General features: G+C 39.2%; 1 long non-coding RNA gene across 1 annotated transcript, besides 2 other annotated features; it reads right to left on the minus strand.

Moving 5' to 3' along the window:
- Positions 526–820: a silencer, noted in NCBI's record as "tiled region #13165; K562 Repressive DNase matched - State 9:DNaseU". NCBI's record gives its function as "represses a minimal TATA promoter and a strong SV40 promoter by Sharpr-MPRA in K562 cells {active_cell/tissue: K562}" and the evidence as "EXISTENCE:reporter gene assay evidence [ECO:0000049][PMID:27701403]".
- LOC124901183 (uncharacterized) lies at positions 18,097–20,448 on the minus strand. The gene is made up of 2 exons (XR_007059134.1): positions 20,013–20,448; positions 18,097–19,638 (listed from the first exon to the last, which is right to left on the minus strand). It is a non-coding gene; the product is annotated as an uncharacterized LOC124901183 (long non-coding RNA).
- Positions 19,553–20,752: an enhancer, noted in NCBI's record as "BRD4-independent group 4 enhancer chr5:57363636-57364835 (GRCh37/hg19 assembly coordinates)". NCBI's record gives its function as "activates an origin of replication core promoter dependent on BRD2, P300/CBP, MED14 and CDK7 cofactors, and independent of BRD4, by STARR-seq in HCT116 cells {active_cell/tissue: HCT116}" and the evidence as "EXISTENCE:reporter gene assay evidence [ECO:0000049][PMID:35650434]".

The following is a 21,539-nucleotide window of genomic DNA, read 5'->3' on the forward strand; positions in this document are numbered from 1 at the left end:
ATTATTCAATGATATTTGGAAAACAAAATTTTATTGGCTAAATTGCAGGGGGGAAAATTGTCCTATTGAAGTGGTTTCGCCCTTTTAAAATGGTATGTGGCTAAGGGTGTGTGTGTGCATATTCACTGTGCATATATTGAGGACTGTTGCACGGTCCTGCAAGCACTCCCAGCCCAATTAGATTCTCAATAATTTCTCTTTCTGCTGTTTTCTTTTGGCAGATGGCATATTCTTATTTTGTACTTTCAGTCTCTGCTTGTTAACAGACGCTTGTATGTATAGCAGAATTCTGTCTCAGATTTCTTTTTATTGTAATATTCACCTGGTAGCAAGATGATGGGAGAAGGAGACCTACAAATTATTAGGCCTCCAATCATGTAAGACTTCCAATATCTGCCAAAAGGAAACAGATCAACTTAGTTTGTTGATAACATACTGCTATCCCTTGCAATCACCACCTTTATCTCTGCATTAGCAGGCTAATTGTGCAATACATTTATCTAGATTGCTAATCTTTTAAAAACTGTGATGGAGCCCACAAGAGCCTCCCCCTAGAAAACTGACATATGCATATATAGTTATCACTTTGTATACAATTTCCAGGGGATTAACAGCCTGGGGAAGGAGGCAATGGATGCTTCTTCTTTATCGATTAAGTACATTCTGACAGACACTGACACCATTGTCATTATCTCCAACAACACAGGCTCGGGGGAGAAGAAGGAACTGAAGTGGGGTGAAGGTGGAGAGGTGTGAGCAGTTAAGTTCAGCGAGAAGTTCTGAATAATCTGTCCTTCCCTACCCTCCCCCCTTTGGCAGGGGTCAGTTTTTATAGCCACAGCCCAACTCCCTAATGGCATTTGGTTTTCTGGTAAAGATCAAAAGTGCACTTGGCATTTCCTGAGCATAAACAGCATACCAGCCTATACTGGCTAGAATCGATGGATCCATAACCATGTGAAAATGTGAATGCATTTCTGTAGATGGGCAGCTGTGGGTCTGGAAAATATCCAGTTTCAAAAGCAAAACAAATGATAAAAGTAGTTAAATAAGGATTCTGGCTTGATGTTCACCTAAGTTTACCAAATGCATCCCTTTCATTTTCATGGAAAATTAATTCTGGCCTGTAATTCATTTCTATGACTGATTCCTTTTGTGGAAGTTGAAGTAATAGAAAATGACTTTCTGAGGAAGTCCTCTGGAGTTGTTTTCTGAGTATGCTCTTTAATTCTCTTAAAGAAATGTCTGTCTGTACCAGTAGAAGTGACCTTTCTTCTGGTTTAATTTCTGAAGAGATCAATGATTATAGGATAATAACTTTTTAAATCATTCAAGAGGTGTATTGACAATTTGCTATAGGCCAATCCCTGAAGAATGCAACATGGCCCCTACGTTCCAAGATCTTGCAGTTTGGTAGAGGAAACACATAAAACATCTTGTCCTAGAAACTCTGAGATTCACCATTCATATCACCAACATAGATGGCTCATTTAAAACCCAATGGCCCAATCATATCACCCATGCTTTTTTCATCATAATTACTAACAAATTCGTACAATATGTGCTTCAACCTGCAGTATTTTGTTACAATCTTTGAAATACCTGCTTTTTTTTTTTTAAACTCATCAAGTTCCAAGAGTTTTGACAAGAGAAAGAGTGTTTGAAAGCTACATTTCAGCTTTAAGGTCTAGGTAACTTTGAGTACATTGTATTAATATAAGCAATGACCACTGAGGTAGCTACGCATTTGAGTGGAGTGCCAAAAAACTGACTGCCCTCTACACGAACACACACACACACCTCCCACACTGAACAATCTGGTTCTGTTTTCACTGACTACTGTCTAAAAAGAGGCTGGCCTGGAAGAAAGTCCTATCATTCTTTTGTGGACATTTTTTATATATTCCAGATGACTAGATGGAATCGGGATGAGAAAAAGAAAGAAAAAGCACAGAATGATAAAAATTGCAAGGTACAACGGGTCAACGCCAAAATTGACTGAGTATAAAAATGGCTCTATAAGTATTCAGTATAAGTCAGAAACATCCTCTATAATACCATATTCTCAGGGTAAATATTGTCACAATATTGACAGTTACAAAAAGCCTACTGAAAGTTTTTCTAAACCTAACGATGTCTTGTAAATACCCAAAAGGTTATGGCAAAGTCAAGTTTTAAGTTTAACATTAAATTTATTAACCTGCACAATGTTCTTTGCAGGATCACCAACAAATAATGTGGTGTGAATTGAGGGACTTTCTTTTCTAGGAACACGGGATAGATGTGTGTTTTCTTATCTTTCTAAGTACAACTGAAAAGTGTAGCTATAATACATATAATAATCATATGAAGACTTTGAAAGCTGGACATGAGAAGGCAGACTGGCTAGAGACCTTGGAACTTGAGAAACAACACAGTAATGAGGTCTTGGGTGTTCTCTTTGCCTCATGTATCCCAGACTTGGAGCTGAAGAAGCCAGCAACCTGGAGACAATAATGAGGGCAGACCACTACAAATAAATAAAAAACAGAAAAGAAATTATGATTTCTCTAGGCAAAAGACTCAGGAAGAAGTAGCCTAGGAAAAGTGAACATTTTTAGACAATAACCTCTCCAATTCAGCCAAACACCACAGAAAAAAACTGTGAGTGCATTCTGATCCAAGCCTGCAGAGGCTGAGTAGTGAGCCTAGATTTCCAACCTAATGAAGCTGTAACAAGGTGCTCTTGCATCCACCAGGATCCCATCAGGGAATGCCAAGTAGGGATGCTGGTTAGTAATAGGACCTTTCTTGCCCACTGTGTCAATAGAGACCATGTGGGGGGCAGAAACTTCTATGTCTAATTGGCAGTAACAAGAAGTTCTCTCCACCTTGGGTGTTAATGAAAGCCAAGTGAGAATGTTTTCTTTTCTTTTTTTTTTTATTATTATACTTTAAGTTTTAGGGTACATGTGCACAATGTGCAGGTTAGTTACATATGTATACATGTTACATGCTGGTGCGCTGCACCCACTAACTGGTCATCTAGCATTAGGTATATCTCCCAATGCTATCCCTCCCCCCTCCCCCCACCCCACAACAGTCCCCAGAGTGTGATGTTCCCCTTCCTGTGTCCATGTGTTCCCATTGTTCAATTCCCACCTATGAGTGAGAATATGTGGTGTTTGGTTTTTTGTTCTTGCCATAGTTTACTGAGAATGATGATTTCCAATTGCATCCATGTCCCTACAAAGGACATGAACTCATCATTTTTTATGGCTGCATAGTATTCCATGGCGGATATGTGCCACATTTTCTTAATCCAGTCTATCATTGTTGGACATTTGGGTTGGTTCCAAGTCTTTGCTATTGTGAATAGTGCCACAATAAACATACGTGTGCATGTGTCTTTATAGCAGCATGATTTATAGTCCTTTGGGTATATACCCAGTAATGGGATGGCTGGGTCAAATGGTATTTCTAGTTCTAGATCCCTGAGGAATCGCCACACTGACTTCCACAATGGTTGAACTAGTTTACAGTCCCACCAACAGTGTAAAAGTGGTCCTATTTCCCCACATCCTCTCCAGCACCTGTTGTTTCCTGACTTTTTAATGATTGCCATTCTAACTGGTGTGAGATGATATCTCATTGTGGTTTTGATTTGCATTTCTCTGATGGCCAGTGACGGTGAGCATTTTTCCTGTGTTTTTTGGCTGCATAAATGTCTTCTTTTGAGAAGTGTCTGTTCATGTCCTTCGCCCACTTTTTGATGGGGTTGTTTTTTTCTTGTAAATTTGTTTGAGTTCATTGTAGATTCTGGATATTAGCCCTTAAGTGTCTGTTCATGTCCTTCGCCCACTTTTTGATGGGGTTGTTTGTTTTTCTCTTGTAAATTTGTTTGAGTTCATTGTAGATTCTGGATATTAGCCCTTTGTCAGATGAGTAGGTTGCGAAAATTTTCTGCCATTTCGTGGGTTGCCTGTTCACTCTGATGGTAGTTTCTTTTGCTGTGCATAAGCTCTTGAGTTTAATTAGACCCCATTTGCCAATTTTGGCTTTTGTTGCCATTGCTTTTGGTGTTTTAGACATGAAGTCCTTGCCCTTGCCTATGTCCTGAATGGTATTGCCTAGGTTTTCTTCTAGGGTTTTTATGGTTTTAGGTCTAACGTTTAAGTCTTTAATCCATCTTGAATTGATTTTTGTATAAGGTGTAAGGAAGTGATCCAATTTCAGCTTTCTACATATGGCTAGCCAGTTTTCCCAGCACCATTTATTAAATAGGGAATCCTTTCCCCATTGCTTGTTTTTCTCAGGTTTGTCAAAGATCAGATAGTTGTAGATATGAGGCGTTATTTCTGAGGGCTCTGTTCTGTTCCATTGATCTATATCTCTGTTTTGGTACCAGTACCATGCTGTTTTGGTTACTGTAGCCTTGTAGTATAGTTTGAAGTCAGGTAGCGTGATGCCTCCAGCTTTGTTCTTTTGGCTTAGGATTGACTTGGTGATGCGGGCTCTTTTTTGGTTCCATATGAACTTTAAAGTAGTTTTTTCCAATTCTGTGAAGAAAGTCATTGGTAGCTTGATGAGGATGGCATTGAATATATAAATTACCTTGGGCAGTATGGCCATTTTCACAATATTGATTCTTCCTACCCATGAACATGGAATGTGCTTCCATTTGTTTGTATCCTGTTTAATTTCATTGAGCAGTGGTTTGTAGTTCTCCTTGAAGAGGTCCTTCACATCCCTTGTAAGTTGGATTCCTAGGTATTTTATTCTCTTTGAAGCAATTGTGAATGGGAGTTCACTCATGATTTGGCTCTCTGTTTGTCTGTTATTGGTGTATAAGAATGCTTGTGATTTTTGCACATTGATTTTGTATCCTGAGACTTTGCTGAAGTTGCTTATCAGCTTAAGGAGATTTTGGGCTGAGACAATGGGGTTTTCTAGATATACAATTATGTCGTCTGCAAACAGGGACAATTTGACTTCCTCTTTTCCTAATTGAATACCCTTGATTTCCTTCTCCTGCCTAATTGCCCTGGCCAGAACTTCCAATACTATGTTGAATAGGAGTGGTGAGAGAGGGCATCCCTGTCTTCTGCCAGATTTCAAAGGGAATGCTTCCAGTTTTTGCCCATTCAGTATGATATTGGTTGTGGGTTTGTCATAGATAGTTCTTATTATTTTGAGATACATCCCATCAGTACCTAATGTATTGAGAGTTTTTAGCATGAAGGGTTGTTGAATTTTGTCAAAGGCCTTTTCTGCATCTATGGAGATAATCATGTGGTTTTTGTCTTTGGTTCTGTTTATATGCTGGATTACATTTATTGATTTGCGTATATTGAACCAGCCTTGCATCCCAGGGATGAAGCCCACTTGATCATGGTGGATAAGCTTTTTGATGTGCTGCTGGATTCGTTTTGCCAGTATTTTATTGAGGAAGTATTCCCACTTTACCCTACAGGAGATGTGTTAAAAACAAAACTACAGGCCAGGCATGGTGGCTCACACCTGTAAGCCCTGCACTTTGGGAGGCCGAGGCAGGCGGATCACTTGAGGCCAGGAGTTCGAGACCAGCCTGACCAACATGGAGAAACCCCGTCTCTACTAAAAATACAAAAATTAGCTGGGCTTGGTGGCACATGCCTGTAATTCCAGCTACTTGGGAAGCTGAGGCAGGAGAATCACTTGAACCCAGGAGGCGGAGGCTGCGGTGAGCCGAGATCATGCCATTGCACTGCAGCCTGGGCAACAAGAGCGAACCTCCGTCTTAAGAAAAAACAAACAAACAAACAAAAACTACACAAGGCATACCTAGAAAGCCTAAATAAAATCAGGAGTCTTATAATGTAATATGAAAATGCACAGGTTTCAATAGAAAATGTACTTATAGCAAGAACCAGGAAGATTTCACACAGAAAACAGACAGTGCAGAGATGCAACACTGAAATGACAGAGATGTAATAATTACGCAACAAAAATTTTAGAGTAGCCATGTAAAAAATGTTTCAATGGGCAATTATGAACATGCTTGAAACATTGCAAAGAAATAGAGTCTCAACAATGAATTACAAGATATAAAGAAGAACCAAATGCAAATTCTAGAACAGAAAAATACAATAACTGAAATCAAAAGCTTAGTGGTTGAGTTTTCTAAATTATGTTTAATAAGTGTTGTAGGGAGCTTCCTCTATATATTTGGATCTAATTTATGAAAAGTCGGGCTTTAAAATATAACTTTGATAAACAAATACATAATTACTATATTTGATAATTTAGTCCCTGATTTGGCTGTGTCCCCACCCAAACCTCATCTTGAATTGTAGTTCCCATAGTCCCCATGTGTCATGGGAGAGACTCAGTGGGAGGTAATTGAATCATGGGGTCAGTTACCCCCATGCTGCTATTCTCATGATTGTGGGTGGGTTCTCACGAGGTCTGATGGTTTTACAAGGGGCTTTTCCCCCTTAGCTTGGCGTTTCTCTCTCCTGCCACCATGTGAAAAAGGATGCTTCTGCTTCCCCTTACACCATTATTGTAAGTTTCCTGAGGCCTCCCCAGCCATGCGGAACTGTGAGTTAATTAAACCTCTTTCCTTTATAAGTTACCCAGCCTTGGGTAGTTCTTTATAGCAGTGTGAGAATGGACTAATCCCTAAGTAAATTAAATTAAATTAAAAATTCCTATTATAGGAATTATTTATTCCATACCATAGATGATTCAGGACTGATCCCATCCTTTCTTACCCTCTGAAGTGAAAATTATTTTCCTTGTGGGTTGGAGACAGCTCTAAGAATCACTGATAATAGAGGCACATTCTCATGAAGTCTCTTTAGCACTTGTTTATGTTGCTGTTTTTCTTCTTGAAAAGGATGCCTTCTTCAAACAGAGAAATTGCCAAAAGGTGTTCTTCTGGGCAAATCATTTTGAAAAAAAAAAAAAGGCTTCTTTTCCTCCAGACCGCCAGCAACACTGGGTGAGGCAAGCAGAGCTGAGACCAAATTTTAGTTCCCATTCATCTCCCTTGGGAGCCACCCTAGTGTTGGGGCACAGTCTGCACAATCCCATACAGCAGAACTAACTCTTACCTTTCACCTTTTCTTCTCCTGCTGCTGGCACAGGGAAGAGAGCACATTGATCCTCCTTGGGAAACAGGGCTCTTAGAATCTCTTTCCTGCAGCAGTGTTTTTCATTTGAGTATTGGAGTCCTCCGTTTTCTGGGTGTCTATGGTAGAGATTTAAAAAAGGGTGAGAGAGCAAAACTGGCATTTATTGAATACCTTCTATGTGCCTGTAACTTTTTACTTTAAGGCATTTTTAAGAGTAGTTTTAAGTTCACAGCAAAATTGAAAGGAAGGTATAGATATTTCCCATTACCCACCCCCCCAACATGTGCATAGCCTTCTTCCATTGTCAATATGCCCTACCAGAGGGTACACTTGTTACAACTGATAAGCCTACGTTGACCCATCATAATCATCCAAAATCCATATGCCTGTAAATTTTCATGATATTTTACATACATTACATGGCATATTACGATCTTTTCTTAGATGAGACCACTGAGGCTCTGAGAGGTGACATCCATTTGTTAAGACCTCTCAGTAAGGAGAAGTTAGAATGATGCCCAGGGCCACTTGTCTCCAAACAAAAAGAAGACTCTGTTGTGCTCTTAACAGTCCATCCTAGATTGTTAGCCAACCATGATGAGGGGACCTCAACAGTTTGCCCAGTTCATTAGGCTTTAGCTTAGCCCTGATCTTGATGGAGTGAAGAACAAGGAGTCTAAGAACTCAGTTATCTACTGGAAGGTTCTGCAGGACACAAGAAAGGGTAATATGATTCCTGACTTAATGTAGGTACAATATGACCTCAAGCTGAGGCCAATAGATTCTGATAACATGAAAAAGTGACCGTGAAAATCAAAGAAAAAACCATGGGTGTAGATGTGAAGAAACCCTGAGATTGAAAGGAATTAAAGAGAGCGTGAAAAATTTTGCTTTAGAGATTGAATAAATTCCATTATCTTCTAAATGCAAACATTTTTAAACAGAGTGCATGAATTCCCTTTTGATGTTAAAAAATACAAAATTACCTACCTAATATGGTGTTTGGATGGACAAGAGACTCATGTTGATAGTTGAGACACTTTCGTCAAAGAAATAAAACCTCTGAGTTTGAGGCAAAATCTGGCACAGGAAAGAAATGGCATCCTTCAGCCCCTAGGGTTCTTGGAAGTGGTCAAAGTTCCAAACAGAATCTCCCTCACACTTATCTACAGCCATACTCAACCATTGTCATCAATTTTATTTTTTAAAATTTTTGATTATCAGTATTTTATATTTACATTTAAGGATTTTTAGATTGTAGAGATGTTTAAATATGTATTGTATTTAAAAGACACATTTATTCTCCAGCATTAGTTTCTCTCATTCATGATTACTTACATTATGAGTTAAATGAGCTTTGGTGCACTGCCTGGGAATCCAGCCAGTATTTGTGAGATCATTTCTAAGATAACATGCATTTTCAGTTCCCGAAACCCTAGGAACAATAAAACTCCATAAACACAGTAAGTATTGTCAACTTGACTAGGGTCAATGAACAATAAGAGAAAATATTAATAATTCAGTCAATTCTTCAAGTCTTGATTCCCCTTTCCTGAATTACAATTTTTCCCTTTTCAATTTGATTTGCACTCCTTGGGTTGAATTTTGTGTTCTAGCTCATAGTAAAACTAGAAATATAAAAACAGGAATATAAAAACAGGAATATAAAAATCTTTGTTGAAAAGGTTAATGAAAATTTTTAGTTACAAATGTGCTTGTTATGTGAATGATGTTGGGAAGGTTTTCTGATATCCCTGGAGTAGTACATGAATGTGTGGAGTCATGCATTTAGTTTGTAGGATGAAATTCACATTATGGAGTGAATTTGGAATCATATCGAAGAAATCATTGCCAATTCCAATGTCATGAGGCTTTTGCCCAATATTTTCTTCTAAAAGTTTATCGTTTTTGGTCTTACCCTTACGTCTGTGGTCCATTTTGAGTTTATTTTTGTATGTGATGTTATGTAAGGTACCCAATTTTATTCTGAATATCCAATTTTCTTAGCACCATTTGTTGAAAAGACTGTCCTTTCCCCATTGAATGGCCTTGGCATCCTTGTCAAAAATTATTTGACCATAATTCAAGGGTTTATTTGTGGGTTCTCTTCTATTCCGTTAGTTCACGTCTGTCTTTATGCCAGTACCACACTGTTTTGATTACTGTAGCTTTGTGGTAAGTTTTGAAATGAGGAAGTGTAAGTTCTACAGTTTTATTCTTTTATTATTTTTTTCCGCAAGACTGTGGCTACTCGTGGTCCCCTGAGATTCTATGTGAATTTTATGATGGGTTTTCCCATTTCTGCAAAAAATCATTGAGATTTGGATAGGGATTGCACTGAATTTGTAGATCACTTTGGGTAGCACTGAAATTTTAACAATATTAAGTCTTCCAATCCATAAAGTTAAGATGTGTTTCTGTTCTAATATTTTTCGGTAATGTTTTATAGTGTTCATTGTACAAGCCTTTCATGTCCTTGGTTAACTTGTTTCCTAAGCATTTTATTCTTTTTGGTGCTATAGTAAATTGACTTGTTTTTGTCATTTCCTTTTCAGATTATTCATTATTAGAGTGTGAAAATGAAAGACATTTTGTATGTTGACTTCATATCTTTCTACACTGCTAAAATGACTTTTTAGTTCTAAGTTTATTTTTATGAACTCTTTACGATTTTCTACCTATAAGGTAATGTATCTGCAGACAGAGATAATTTTACTTCTTTCTTTACAACTCAGATTCCTTTTTTTTTTTTTTTTTGGCCTAATTGTTCTGGCTAGAACTTCTAGTACTATATTGAATAGAAGTGTGAAAGTGGGCACCCTTGTCTTGTTCCTGATTTTAGAGGAATAGTTTTCAGTCTTTTGCCATTGCATATAATGTTCACTGTATGTTTTTCATATATGGCTTTTACTATGTTGAGGCAATTTCCTTTTATTTCCAGTTTGTTGAGTTTTTTTTTATTATAAAAGAATGTTGAATTTTGTCAAATGATTTTTCTGCATCAATTGATATGACTGTGTGTTTGTTTTGTCTTCATTCTGTTAATATGGTATATTATACTGATTTTTATATTTTGAATCATCCTAGCATTCCAGGAATAAATTCTACTTGGTCATGATGTATAATCCTTTTAATATGTGCTGAATTAGCCAAATTCAGTTAAAATTTATTTAACATATTTTGCTTAACCTATCAAAATATATTATTTTCAGTGTGTAATTAATATAAACTGTAATTACTGAGATATTTTATATTCTTTTTTCACACTCAGTCTTGGAAACCAAGTGTCTATTTTATACTTACAGACATCTCTATTTGGATGATACCCATTTCAAGTGTTTAACAGCCATATGTTGCTAGCGGCCACCGTTTTGGATACCACAGCTCTGGTCACTGTGTTAAGAATTTATAGTAAGCTCACACATTGCCAGTGGGAATGTAAAATAGTGCAGCCACTTTAGAAAACAGTTTGATAGTTCCTTAAAAAGGTAAACATAAAGTTACCATATGATCCAGAAATTCCTCTCCTAGGTATATACCCCAAAGAATTGAAAACATATTTTTATGCAAAAATGTGTATGTGAATTATAGCTGCACTATTTGTAATAGCCAAGAGATGAAAACAACCTAAATGCCCATTAACTGCTGCTTAGATAAACAAAATGTGGTATGCCTAGGCAATAGAATAGTATTCAACCAGAAGAAGGAATAAAGTACTTATTTATGCTACAACATGAATGAACGTTGAAAATATGGTAAGTGTAAAAAAAAGACATAACTGGGAGGCCAAGGTGAGTGGATCACCTGAGGTCAGGAGTTCGAGACCAGCCTGGCCAACATGGTGAAACCCTGTCTCTACCAAAAATACAAAAATTAGCCAGACGTATTGGTGCGTGCCTGTGATCCCAGCTACTCGGGAGGCTGAGGCAGGAGAATCACTTGAACCTGGGGCACGGAGGTTGCAGTGAGCTGAGATCACGCCATTGCACTCCAGCCTGGGCAACAAGAACAAAACTCCGTCTCAAAAAAAAAAAAAAAAAAAAAAAAGACATAAAAGGCAGAGTAGTATGATTCCTTTCATCTAAAATATTCAGATTAGTGGCAGTTAGTATTTTTCCAGGGGCTGGTGGTGGGAGTGTGGAAAGTGACCGGGATGGGGTTTCTTTTTGGAGTCAAAAAAATGGGATTAGTGGCAATTTTTGCACAAGTTTGTGAATATGCTAAAAACTGCTGATTTTATATTTTAAAATGGTAAATTGTATGGTATGTGAATTATATTTTAATTTTAAAAGATATTGTACAGTATTGTACAGAAAAGGAACATGGATGAAGTTTAAAAAGTTAGGAGGCCATTGCAATAGTGTTAGGAGGAGACAAATACAGCTTGGGCAGTGTAGTAGCAGTACAGGTGTTGAGACAGACCAGATTCTGGGAATATTTTGAAAAGTAGAGCCAAATAATTTTTGGATGGATTTTGGTCTGAGTGTCTGGAAAGATGGGATTTCCTCATGGGGCATGATGTTGGAGAAATAATTGGGGTTACTTAAAAACAGAAATTTGCTTTTGGACATAAGCATGAAATGCCCATTAGACATCTCATGATATCCAGTAAGCAGCTGGATATACAAATGAAGAATCGGGGAGAGATAGGTGCTGGAAAGAGAGAGACTTAGGCATCAACATATATAAACGGTATTAAAAGTCATGAGACTAGATGAACCCAGGAGGTGAGTTTAAATATAGAGGGACACAGGCCTGAGTCCTGACTCACTCCAATATTTAGGGTTCTGGGACATGAGAAAGAAGCTGCAATAATGATAAAGGAGTGACCAATTAGGAAGAAGAAAACTTGAATGAATTATGGCCTGAAAGCCACAGGAAAAAAAACAAAAACAAAAACAAAAACAAAAACAAAAAAAAACGTGGTTTAAGAACTGAGTGATCCTTAGTATCAAATGCTGTTGATAGGTCAGGTAAGATGAGGGCTGAGAAATTGCCACTGGATTTAACAGCACAGAGGTCATTCATAACCTTGGTGTAATCAAGGTGAAAGGAAAATTGTATTGGATCAACAGAGAGTGAAAAGATTATTGTAAATGAACACAGAAAAAGGGGCCCAAAGACTAAAAAGAAGTGGAGTCACAATATTCTTTTAAGGTGGAAGTAATAAGTCTATTTGTGTGATAATGTGGACATTGCAGTAAAAAGAGAAAAGTCAAGATTCAGGAGAGGAAAAATGGCTCTGGAGTGTAGTTCGGCAATAGTTAAAATGAGGGTGTGAAAATACTTTAAACACAGAAAAATATTTTCAAAAGAAAGCAAATATATGATATGGCCTTTGAAAAGATTTATTGATTCTGTTTTAGGGGAGTTAGTATGGGCAGACTCACTTGGGTTGCTCATGTACTTTTTTTCCTCCAAACTTTATAACCTCATTGGTAGTGTGCTCAAAGTAAAGTAATGAGGCAGAATTCAACCCACTGAGAAAGCAAGTAGATGGCAGCATGTGAATGAGGTTGAGACAGGGAACCAAATGGATGTGGATGCACCAGACAGAAATTGAAGGCAACTCAGATTTCATTAGGTGATGTTGGTTGTTAGGAGACAGATAAAAATGTTTCCTGTCACTGAACTTCCCTGCAATCTCTGAGGTTGCAGGAGACATTTTTCTCAGGGCCTAAACATCAGCCTATTCCTGAAGTTGCTGGAAACTACTTATCAAACATTTTGCTAACGATTACAAAATCACAAGCTCTTCCCAAGACTCACAATCAATCAACAGCTTAGGCAGGAAGTAGTTGTAGTCTCTTGGGTCATCTCTTTTCATTTTTTGTCTCTTACTCTATCCGAGGAGCTGGATTGAGTCAGCCTTTGATTTCAACTGAAGGAACTGCTTGCTGAGCTCAAATAACAGCCAGCTAATTCCAGGAAAAGCCCTGGGAATGTATAAGGTACTTCGGAGACCCTTCAGGGAACCCAGCCCTTCTGCTGCTCTTTCCCAAAGAACTTCAAATCTGTAGGCTCAATTGCAAACTTCTCTAATGAAATAAATAGATGCTCTAGAAGGAGTGGCTTCCTGTAGAGGCTGAAACTGGCCCTTGTTGTCCTGCTTTTTTTCTCTAATGATCTGTCTTCTCCTAAGGGATGTAGCTTTGAAGGGGTGAGGTCATTGATCTTCCTTTACCAACCTGTCCTAGGTGTGGATACATCATTCTTCCTTAATATTCCTTAGCTGTGACCAGGTTGAATGTTCAAATGAAACTCCACTAAACAACAGAGTATAACCAAAAGGAAGTACGCTAAAATATGCCCAACGGAAGTAACCAAGATAATCTGGGTTAAAAGACAGAGTTTTTAAATTTTCAACTTGAGGTCTCTAAGGGCTTGAGGTCTGCTAAGTAATTGATGCCTTCCTACTTAACTCCCAGGTTACTCACAAGTTTTAAAAACAAACAAAAAGTATCTTTAATTTCTTTATTGCTTGAAATATACTTGAGGTGTTTTTTATTTTTTATTTTTTGAAGTACAGACTTACTGAGCAAGATTTGGGAAGCCGTAAGAGGTCACTTCCCAGCTGCCTAGAATCCACTTCTTAGGTCCCACCTATGCACCCCCCACCAGATCAGGTTATTTTACTTTTGTCTACCCCTAGTAAGAAAAGAATTTATAACGTTGGGCACGGTGGCTCACGCCTGTAATCCCAGCACTTTGGGAAGCAGAGAAGGACAGATCACAAGGTCAGCAGTTCCAGATCAGCCTGGCCAGCATGGTGAAACCCGGACTCTACTAAAAATACAAAAATTAGCCAGGCATGGTGGCATGTGCCTGTAATCCCAGCTACCCAGGGGGCTGAGGTAGAAGAATCGCTTGACCTCGGGAGGCGGAGGTTGCAGTGAGCCAAGATTGCACCACTGCACTCCAGTCTGGGCAACAGAGTGAGAATCCATCTCAAAAAAAAAAAAAAGAAAAAAATAATTTATAAAGAAGTAAGACTCCAGGTGCCTATTCCAAATTCTCTTGCCAGCACTGTAAAATCAGAACTTTCTTCTCCAATTATCACCCTGCCACACACACACACACACACACACACACACACACACACACCACAAATTAAAACAAGTGGGGCACTGAAAAGTCTCAGAGAATGACCACTGTCCAGGTGTCTCTCCACCCACCCTTGACTGGCTTGTGGGTTCCATTTTGTCTAGCAGCCATGCCTTGGTGGTTACTTTGACCTAGATATTCAGAAAAAGAGCAGGTCAGCCAGTATACTTTGTTGAGTGCTTTCTTTTCTTTTTTCTCTGGGGTGCTGGATGGGGATTTTGAGTGGTGGCCATAAATGGTAAGACAGAAACTTAGAATTGGACCTTCAAGTTTTGTCTGCAAACACTGCAAAAGAATAAAAACACTATTATACATTATTAAATGCATTTTTCTCTGACCCTTGCACAAGTTGTAACATCCCCCTCAGTATAGATAACCATGCCTTGAGGCCTCCAGGGTATCTGCAGATAGTTAAGGAAACTGGAGTAAGCAGTGACCTGGTGGTGGTCTTTGGATTCCAGTAGATATAGCCATACACAGCAGGACCCTGTAATGTCCCAAAGACTTGGTGGTATTGGGAGGAGACAGCTAGAGCAGAAGAAAGGCATGGTCCCTTCTGCGTGCAGCAGAACCAGAAGCCAACTAGACTTATTCCTGAGCTGTTGTAAAACATCCCTGAAACTCCCAGAACTGTCCAGGGAAAACATTAATAGTAAGCTAGATTTCTAAATAGCATGAAAAGACTAGAGCCAGAAAAACATAGATCATGGTCAGACATATTTCTTTGCTTACAATGGATGTGAGAAGGCAAACCAGTTAGGAGGTCAATGTAGTAAATCAACACGGGAGATTATGTCAGCCTCAATTAGGATGAATACAGCAGGAATAAGTTAATTGGATGTGTGTAAGTGATACTATTGAGTTACAATCGACAAAAGTTGGTGATTGACTTGATATGGGGTGTGGCCGATCAGATAGGCTGAGAGAGAAGACCACCTCCAGGGTGATTCCCAAGGTCCCAGCTGGGCTGTCACAGATGAGCCATCCTCTCCAGCACCCTTGCAAGCCACATACATTCTCCCTAGATTTTGAAATGGCCTTCTCTATATTCTTACAACTAACTCCCAGGGGTGGGTCTGCTCTGCTTTCACAAAAAGATGTGCTTTGCCCTAGGAATAGGATCAATTTTGTTTACTGTTGGGCAGAATTTAAGAAGCCCAGAGTGCTGACTTCACATCTGTTTCAACCTGAAACTCGTGTAACCACTTCATTATCATGACTTTCTCTTCAAACATCAGAAACTAGACCCCTGACTTTTAATAATCTAAATTCTAAAGTACCTTGAGAACTGAGGTCAAATAATCCCCCTTACCAATACTGGAGTTCAGCTCTAGTTACCTAAGTCCAACCTCTTTAACTCAACTGTCTGCATTCCTGGATGTTTACACACTTTCTGCCCATAAAGTTCCCACTTCGATTTTCCACTCTGTTTCTGGGAGGTCTCCTGTAGCCCATTGTGGACTATTTCTGTTGCTAATCAACTGTATATTGTTTAATTTTTGCCATGGTCTCCTGATGCCATGCCACCTTCCTCTGCTTTTCAGCCAGTGACCTGCTATTGATGTCTTTTCAAGTATCTTCCCACCAGAAGGTTTTCTGATGTCTAAATGAACTTTTTACTCTTGAATTTGATGTGATCAACTATCATTAATACCTTAGCAGGTCCTCAAGAGCTCTTTCAAAGAGTTGGCCATTTGAGCTTCTGCAATTTCTATTAGAAATGTGACATCCTAAATCCATATTTTGCAGAGGTTCCGCTTTTTTTCTTAAATAAGCTAAATGAAATAAATTAAAACTAAGATTTTGAAAGTATATTAAATACTGATTTGGGGGAGTTCAGCCATTTAATTTATAGAAAGATTTAGTAAACTATTTTTAAGTCATTTGGGAAAAAATGTTATTTAAATCTCAAGATGTTACAAACTTTTATAAGGTGTCAATTCTTTCCTCATTAAGGACTGAATTTAAGTACATTGGAATTAGACCAGAAATTTTAACTTTGGCTGCAAAGTGGATTCACCTGGGGAGCTTTAAAAAAGTATTAAGGATTGAGTCTTGCCTTCAGAGATTCTGGTTAATTACTCTGGGACACATCTGGGCAGTGGCATTTTTAAAAGCCCCTAATCATCCTAATGTGCAGCCAAATTTAAGAATCATTGAATTAGATTAATGACATTTAATCGTAGTTTTGAAAATATTAAATATTGTTTATATGGGTTTAAAAACACAGGAAAATTTTATATACCTTTTAGAGATCATCACTTTTAACTTTTTTGTTAATTACACACACATGCACACACACACAGGTACATATATGGTATTCAAAATTTCTAAAAACAACCAACAATGTTAAATTCCATAAAAATAATAAAGAGCAGACTCCACCGGTTGCTAGGAAAGGAGAGTATTAGGGAAGATTTTTAATGGAAATGAAAACCTACTGGGCAAAATGAATTTTGCATGCATTAGCTTGTTTATTTACACAACCCTTTGTGCTAAGTATTATTACCCCCATTTACAAAAGGGGTCCTGGCATTGAGAGAGGTTGAATCACTCATGCAAAGTCTAGTAAGTGGTGGAGCTGTCATTAAAACCAGATGGTAGACATTCTTTTCTCACTCCAGCTCACTCATCAGCTCTTTATAGGAGGGTAGTAGGTAGACAGGATCATCCTGGTGTTGAGTTTAAGAGTCTGCTTTTAAAGGTCTGAAAACTTGACTTTCGTTCTATTCAATGTTGACTAGATTCAGAGAAACTGATTTGTTCTTACTATATTCACAAAACACTAACGTATAAAATTTCCAATGTATTATTTTTAAACTGTTAAATAGACCAAAACATTGTGTTGGCCTTTTCTCCCTTGAAAATAGTTAAACAGGTTGAAAAATCATCAAGTTTGTTCAGTAAACTAGATTATTTAATGGATACTGCCTTTAAGCTACAGAGAGCTGGAGGCATACATCTCCACTGTAGGGAGATAACCATCATGAAATCATGATTGTCCATGTTAGGTGTTAAGACATTCTCTCTCCGAACGGTGTGAGGTCACAGATTCCTGTGATTTCATTTACCCTTCTGTATACTCCATGCAAAATTTCTGCCTTTTTCCTCTCACACTCTTCTTATTTCTCTTAACACCATTGTTTAGGCTACGGTTTCTGTCCCCTTCTGTCAAGTCTTGATTAGATTTCTGGAGCTGCTCTTCCTGCTTTGTCTAATGGGACATCCTGTTCCTTGGTTTACTGTTGCTCAAATTGTGTTGCTTGTAATATCAGTATCACAACCATTTGAGATGCTAATTTAAAAATGTAGACTCATGGGATCCCCACCAGAAATACTAAATCAGAATCTCTGATTTGGGGCCTGAGAACCTAGATTTTAAGAAAATAACTACATGATATGTATAAATACCATGAGATAACTTCTGCAGAAGGTTCATTTCATTTGTCATGTATCACCTGTCCTGGTTTAAACCTGAAGAAGTTATCTTATTTCCAAAACCCAGGGTGGTTTTTAAGATGGCACCTATATACTGAGTAGAGTAACAAGTTGGCTCAAGTTAAAAGTAAAAGGAATTATAAAATCTGGCCACTAGTAGTTCAAGTGATGGGCAAAATTAATCCACATTTTTAAGTGACAAAAAATATTATAATAGAAAACAAAATAGTATAATGCTTTAGTGAGTTTTGAAAATAAAGGCCTGAAGAAAAGAGAAATGTAAAAAAGGAGGCTTTGACTATGTAACACTAAAAATAGGGGAAAAAATCATCCAGGGCTTTTAGTGGGTTTAACATCTGGTTTTTGTTATAGCATGGTTGATTTGATTATCTCTGATATATAATATGGCTGCAAAAACATGAAGAATCGAAAAATGATCATCTTTGAGACTCCACAATGACAGGGGCAGAGCCAGCTTTATTTAAGGAAAGGGGCCTGCATTGGGACCGAGAAAGGGACCATCTCCATGGTTTGTTTAAGGCTAATTCAATGGCCTGCAACAAATAACAAAATAATTAAAAATTATTTTTTAAAGACGTAGTCTTTAATCGACTTGCTCCATAAAATCCTACTTTGGGATATGTTAGTGTTGTCAATGGAAGACGACCATCTTGAGAAGTCAGCAAATATCAAGAGGTATTTATTAGCTTGGGAAAGAAAAAGTTGAGCTTTTCATTAATCTTAGTTGGGAAGTACCTGAGTGATGTCTGCACACAGGCTAATGGGTAGCTCTTAACCATTTCCCTGGAGAACAGTAGAGGAAGAAGGCTTTGCATTGCAGCAGGGCCTTGTACCAGCTCAAAGGAAATGCTTCTAACCTGAAAGGGTAGTGAGAGGTTGTTAACAGGAAACATTTCTCTGTATCTTTCTAGAGATCTTCAGAAATGGATCTGAAACCCTCTAAGAATGGATCTGAAACCCTGCAAGAATAAACAAACCATTGTTTTGTGTCTTTCTTTCCCCTGCCTCATTCCCAGGTAACAGATTTGGGAAATATACTAGGTCACCCTCAGACTACAATTGCTTTTTTATTTTCTCCAACCTTCCAGATTGGTGTTAGCGTCCTCATTAAGCAGGTCAGAGTACTGTTAACACCTAGTATGGTCCTACTTACCAATCTTGCTGGATTGGTTATTATATAGTGAATTTGCAACAAAACAAAACCAAAAAACACTTATGCTTATTGAAAAGTAGGAAAAATTATATTTTTTACTCGTATTTCTCTTCTTTTATCTTAGTTTATTTTATTGAGACAGGATCTTGCTCTGTTTTACAGGCTGAAGTGCAGTCACCCAAACATAGCTCACTGCAGCCTTGATCACTTTGGTTCAAGTGATCCTCCTGTCTCAGCTTCCCGAGTAGCTGAGACCACAGACATAGGTCATGATACCAGGCTAAATCTCCTAATTTTAACTATAATAACTTTAAAACAAAACAGAAAATTTAGTTTAAGGCTGTGAATTGTAACATTTTAGGTATTCATGGAGACTTTATTGAGATACATTAAAGCATGGTAAGCTCTAATGAGAAATATATCTAGATAACATTTTCTTAAAAAGTGTAGCCAAATTATGGCTGATTGCCTGGGTTTTTCTCCTGTACATCAGTTTCTTAATCTTGCATTACAACCTAAATTATCTGGGCCTGGAAGTATCTTAGCAGGTTCTCAAGCGATTCTTAGAAAATACTTGTGCAGCAGTCTCTTCTAGACAAATTCAGACAGCAACGGTGTAAGTTTTTATGATGCGGTGGATTAATTAGGTTTAGAATAATTTCTTGCCTCCAAAGTAAGCAATAGCATCCTCAGTAGTTGCGAGGACTCCTTTTCCCACACGGACAAGTTCACCATGAAATCTGAAAGTTAGGTGCTGCTTGGCAGTGTGCTACACTTTATGTGTCGGTGACCAGGAGTCACAGATGGGATGAGCACACTGGGATTCTGGAAGGCAAAGAGAGAAAGCCCGAAGTTAAGCAAACAGTTTCTACACTGTCACAGCCACATGGTAGCCTCTTTCGAAGTAAAGAAAAAAAAAATTCACCTATTTAGACCATTTTAGAATTGAAGGTTGTCAATTTTATTATTTAAGAACGTTATGAAAATATTTCATGAGTCACTGTACCATACCCAGAATCAGATGCCTGGATACACAATTAGAGAAATTAATTGCACTCTTTCTAAATTAAAATTACTTTTACATATGCCAGGTGACACGGCTCCACCTCATTCAAATGTTCCTCCAACTTTCCTGGCTTACCTTAGTAGAAAAATACATTCCAAAATTTCAGGACATAGTTATAACTAAGAGATCTTACCAACATACAAACGGCAGTGTGCCCGGAATTGGTGGGTTCTTGGTCTCACTGACCTCAAAAATGAGGACGTGGACCCTCGCGGTGAGTGTTACAGTTCTTCAAGGTGATGTGTCCAGAGTTTGTTCCTTCTGATGTTCATACACGTTCAGAGTTTCTTACTTCTGGTGGGTTCGTAGCCTCGCTGGCTTCAGAAGAGAAACTGCAGACCTTCAAGGTGAGTGGTACAGCTCTTAAGGCAGGCGCGTCTGGAGTTGTTCATTCCTCCTGGTGGGTTCGTGGTTTCACTGGCCTCAGGGGTGAAGCTACAGACCTTCACGGTGAGTGTTACAACTCATAAAGGCAGGGCAGACTCAAAAACTCAGCAACAGCGAGATTTATTACAAAGAGCAAAACAACAAAGGCTCTACATTGTGGAAGGGAACCCCAACAGGTTGCTACTACTGGCTCGGGCAGCCTGCTTTTATTCCTTTATCTGGCCCCACCCACATCCTGCTGATTGGTCCATTTTACTTAGAGCTGATTGGTCTGTTTTACAGAGAGCTGATTGGTCTGTTTTGACAGGGTGCTGATTGGTGCATTTACAATCCCTGAGCTAGACACAAAAGTTCTCCAGGTCCCCACTAGATTAGCTAGACACAGAGCACTGATTGGTGCATTTATAAACCTTGAGCTAGACACAGGGTGCTGATTGGTGTATTTACAAACCTTGAGCTAGACACAGAGTACTGATTGGTGTATTTACAATCCCTTAGGTAGACATAAAGATTCTCCAAGTCCCCACTAGACTCAGGAGCCCAGCTGGCTTCACCTAGTGGATCCCACACCGGGGCACAGACGGAGCTGCCAGCCAGTCCCCCGCCATGTGCCCCCACTCCTCAGCCTTTGGGCGTCAGTGGGACCGGGTGCCACAGAGCAGGGGGCAGCGCTTGTCGGGGAGGCTCCGCTGGGCAGCAGCCCCCAGCGGTGGGGAGGCTCAGGCATGGCAGGCTGCAGGTCCCAAGCTCTGCCCTGCGGGGAGGCAGCTGAGGCCCAGCGAGAATTCGAGCACAGTGCCGGCGGGCCAGCACTGCTGGGGGACCTGGTGCACCCTCTGCAGCTGCTGGCCTGGCTGCCGCGGCCAGCCCGGCTGCCCCCAGTGCGGGGCCCACAGAGCCCACACCCACCCGGAACTTGTGTTGGCCCGCGAGCACCATGCGCAGCCTCCATTCCCGCCTGCGCCTCTCCCTCCACACCTGCCTGGAAGCCGAGGGAGCTGGCTCTGACCTTGGCCAGCCCAGAGAGGGGATCTCATAGTGCAACGGCGGGCTAAAGGGCTCCTCCAGCGTGGCCAGAGTGGGTGCCAGGCGGAGGAGGCACCAAGAGCGAGCAAGGGCTGCCAGCACGCTGTCACCTCTCAGTAGTACAGTCCTTATAGATGATATAAAGTAGAAAGCCCTTTAGTTGAGCTTTGGAAAGAAACACCAAGCCCCAGATAAGGTTGGCTTGAAGACAAACTATGACTTTGGCAATTTTGTTTTTCATTTTCAT

Source organism: Homo sapiens, chromosome 5 (assembly GCF_000001405.40).
Source record: "Homo sapiens chromosome 5, GRCh38.p14 Primary Assembly".
Classification (NCBI taxonomy): domain Eukaryota; kingdom Metazoa; phylum Chordata; class Mammalia; order Primates; family Hominidae; genus Homo; species Homo sapiens.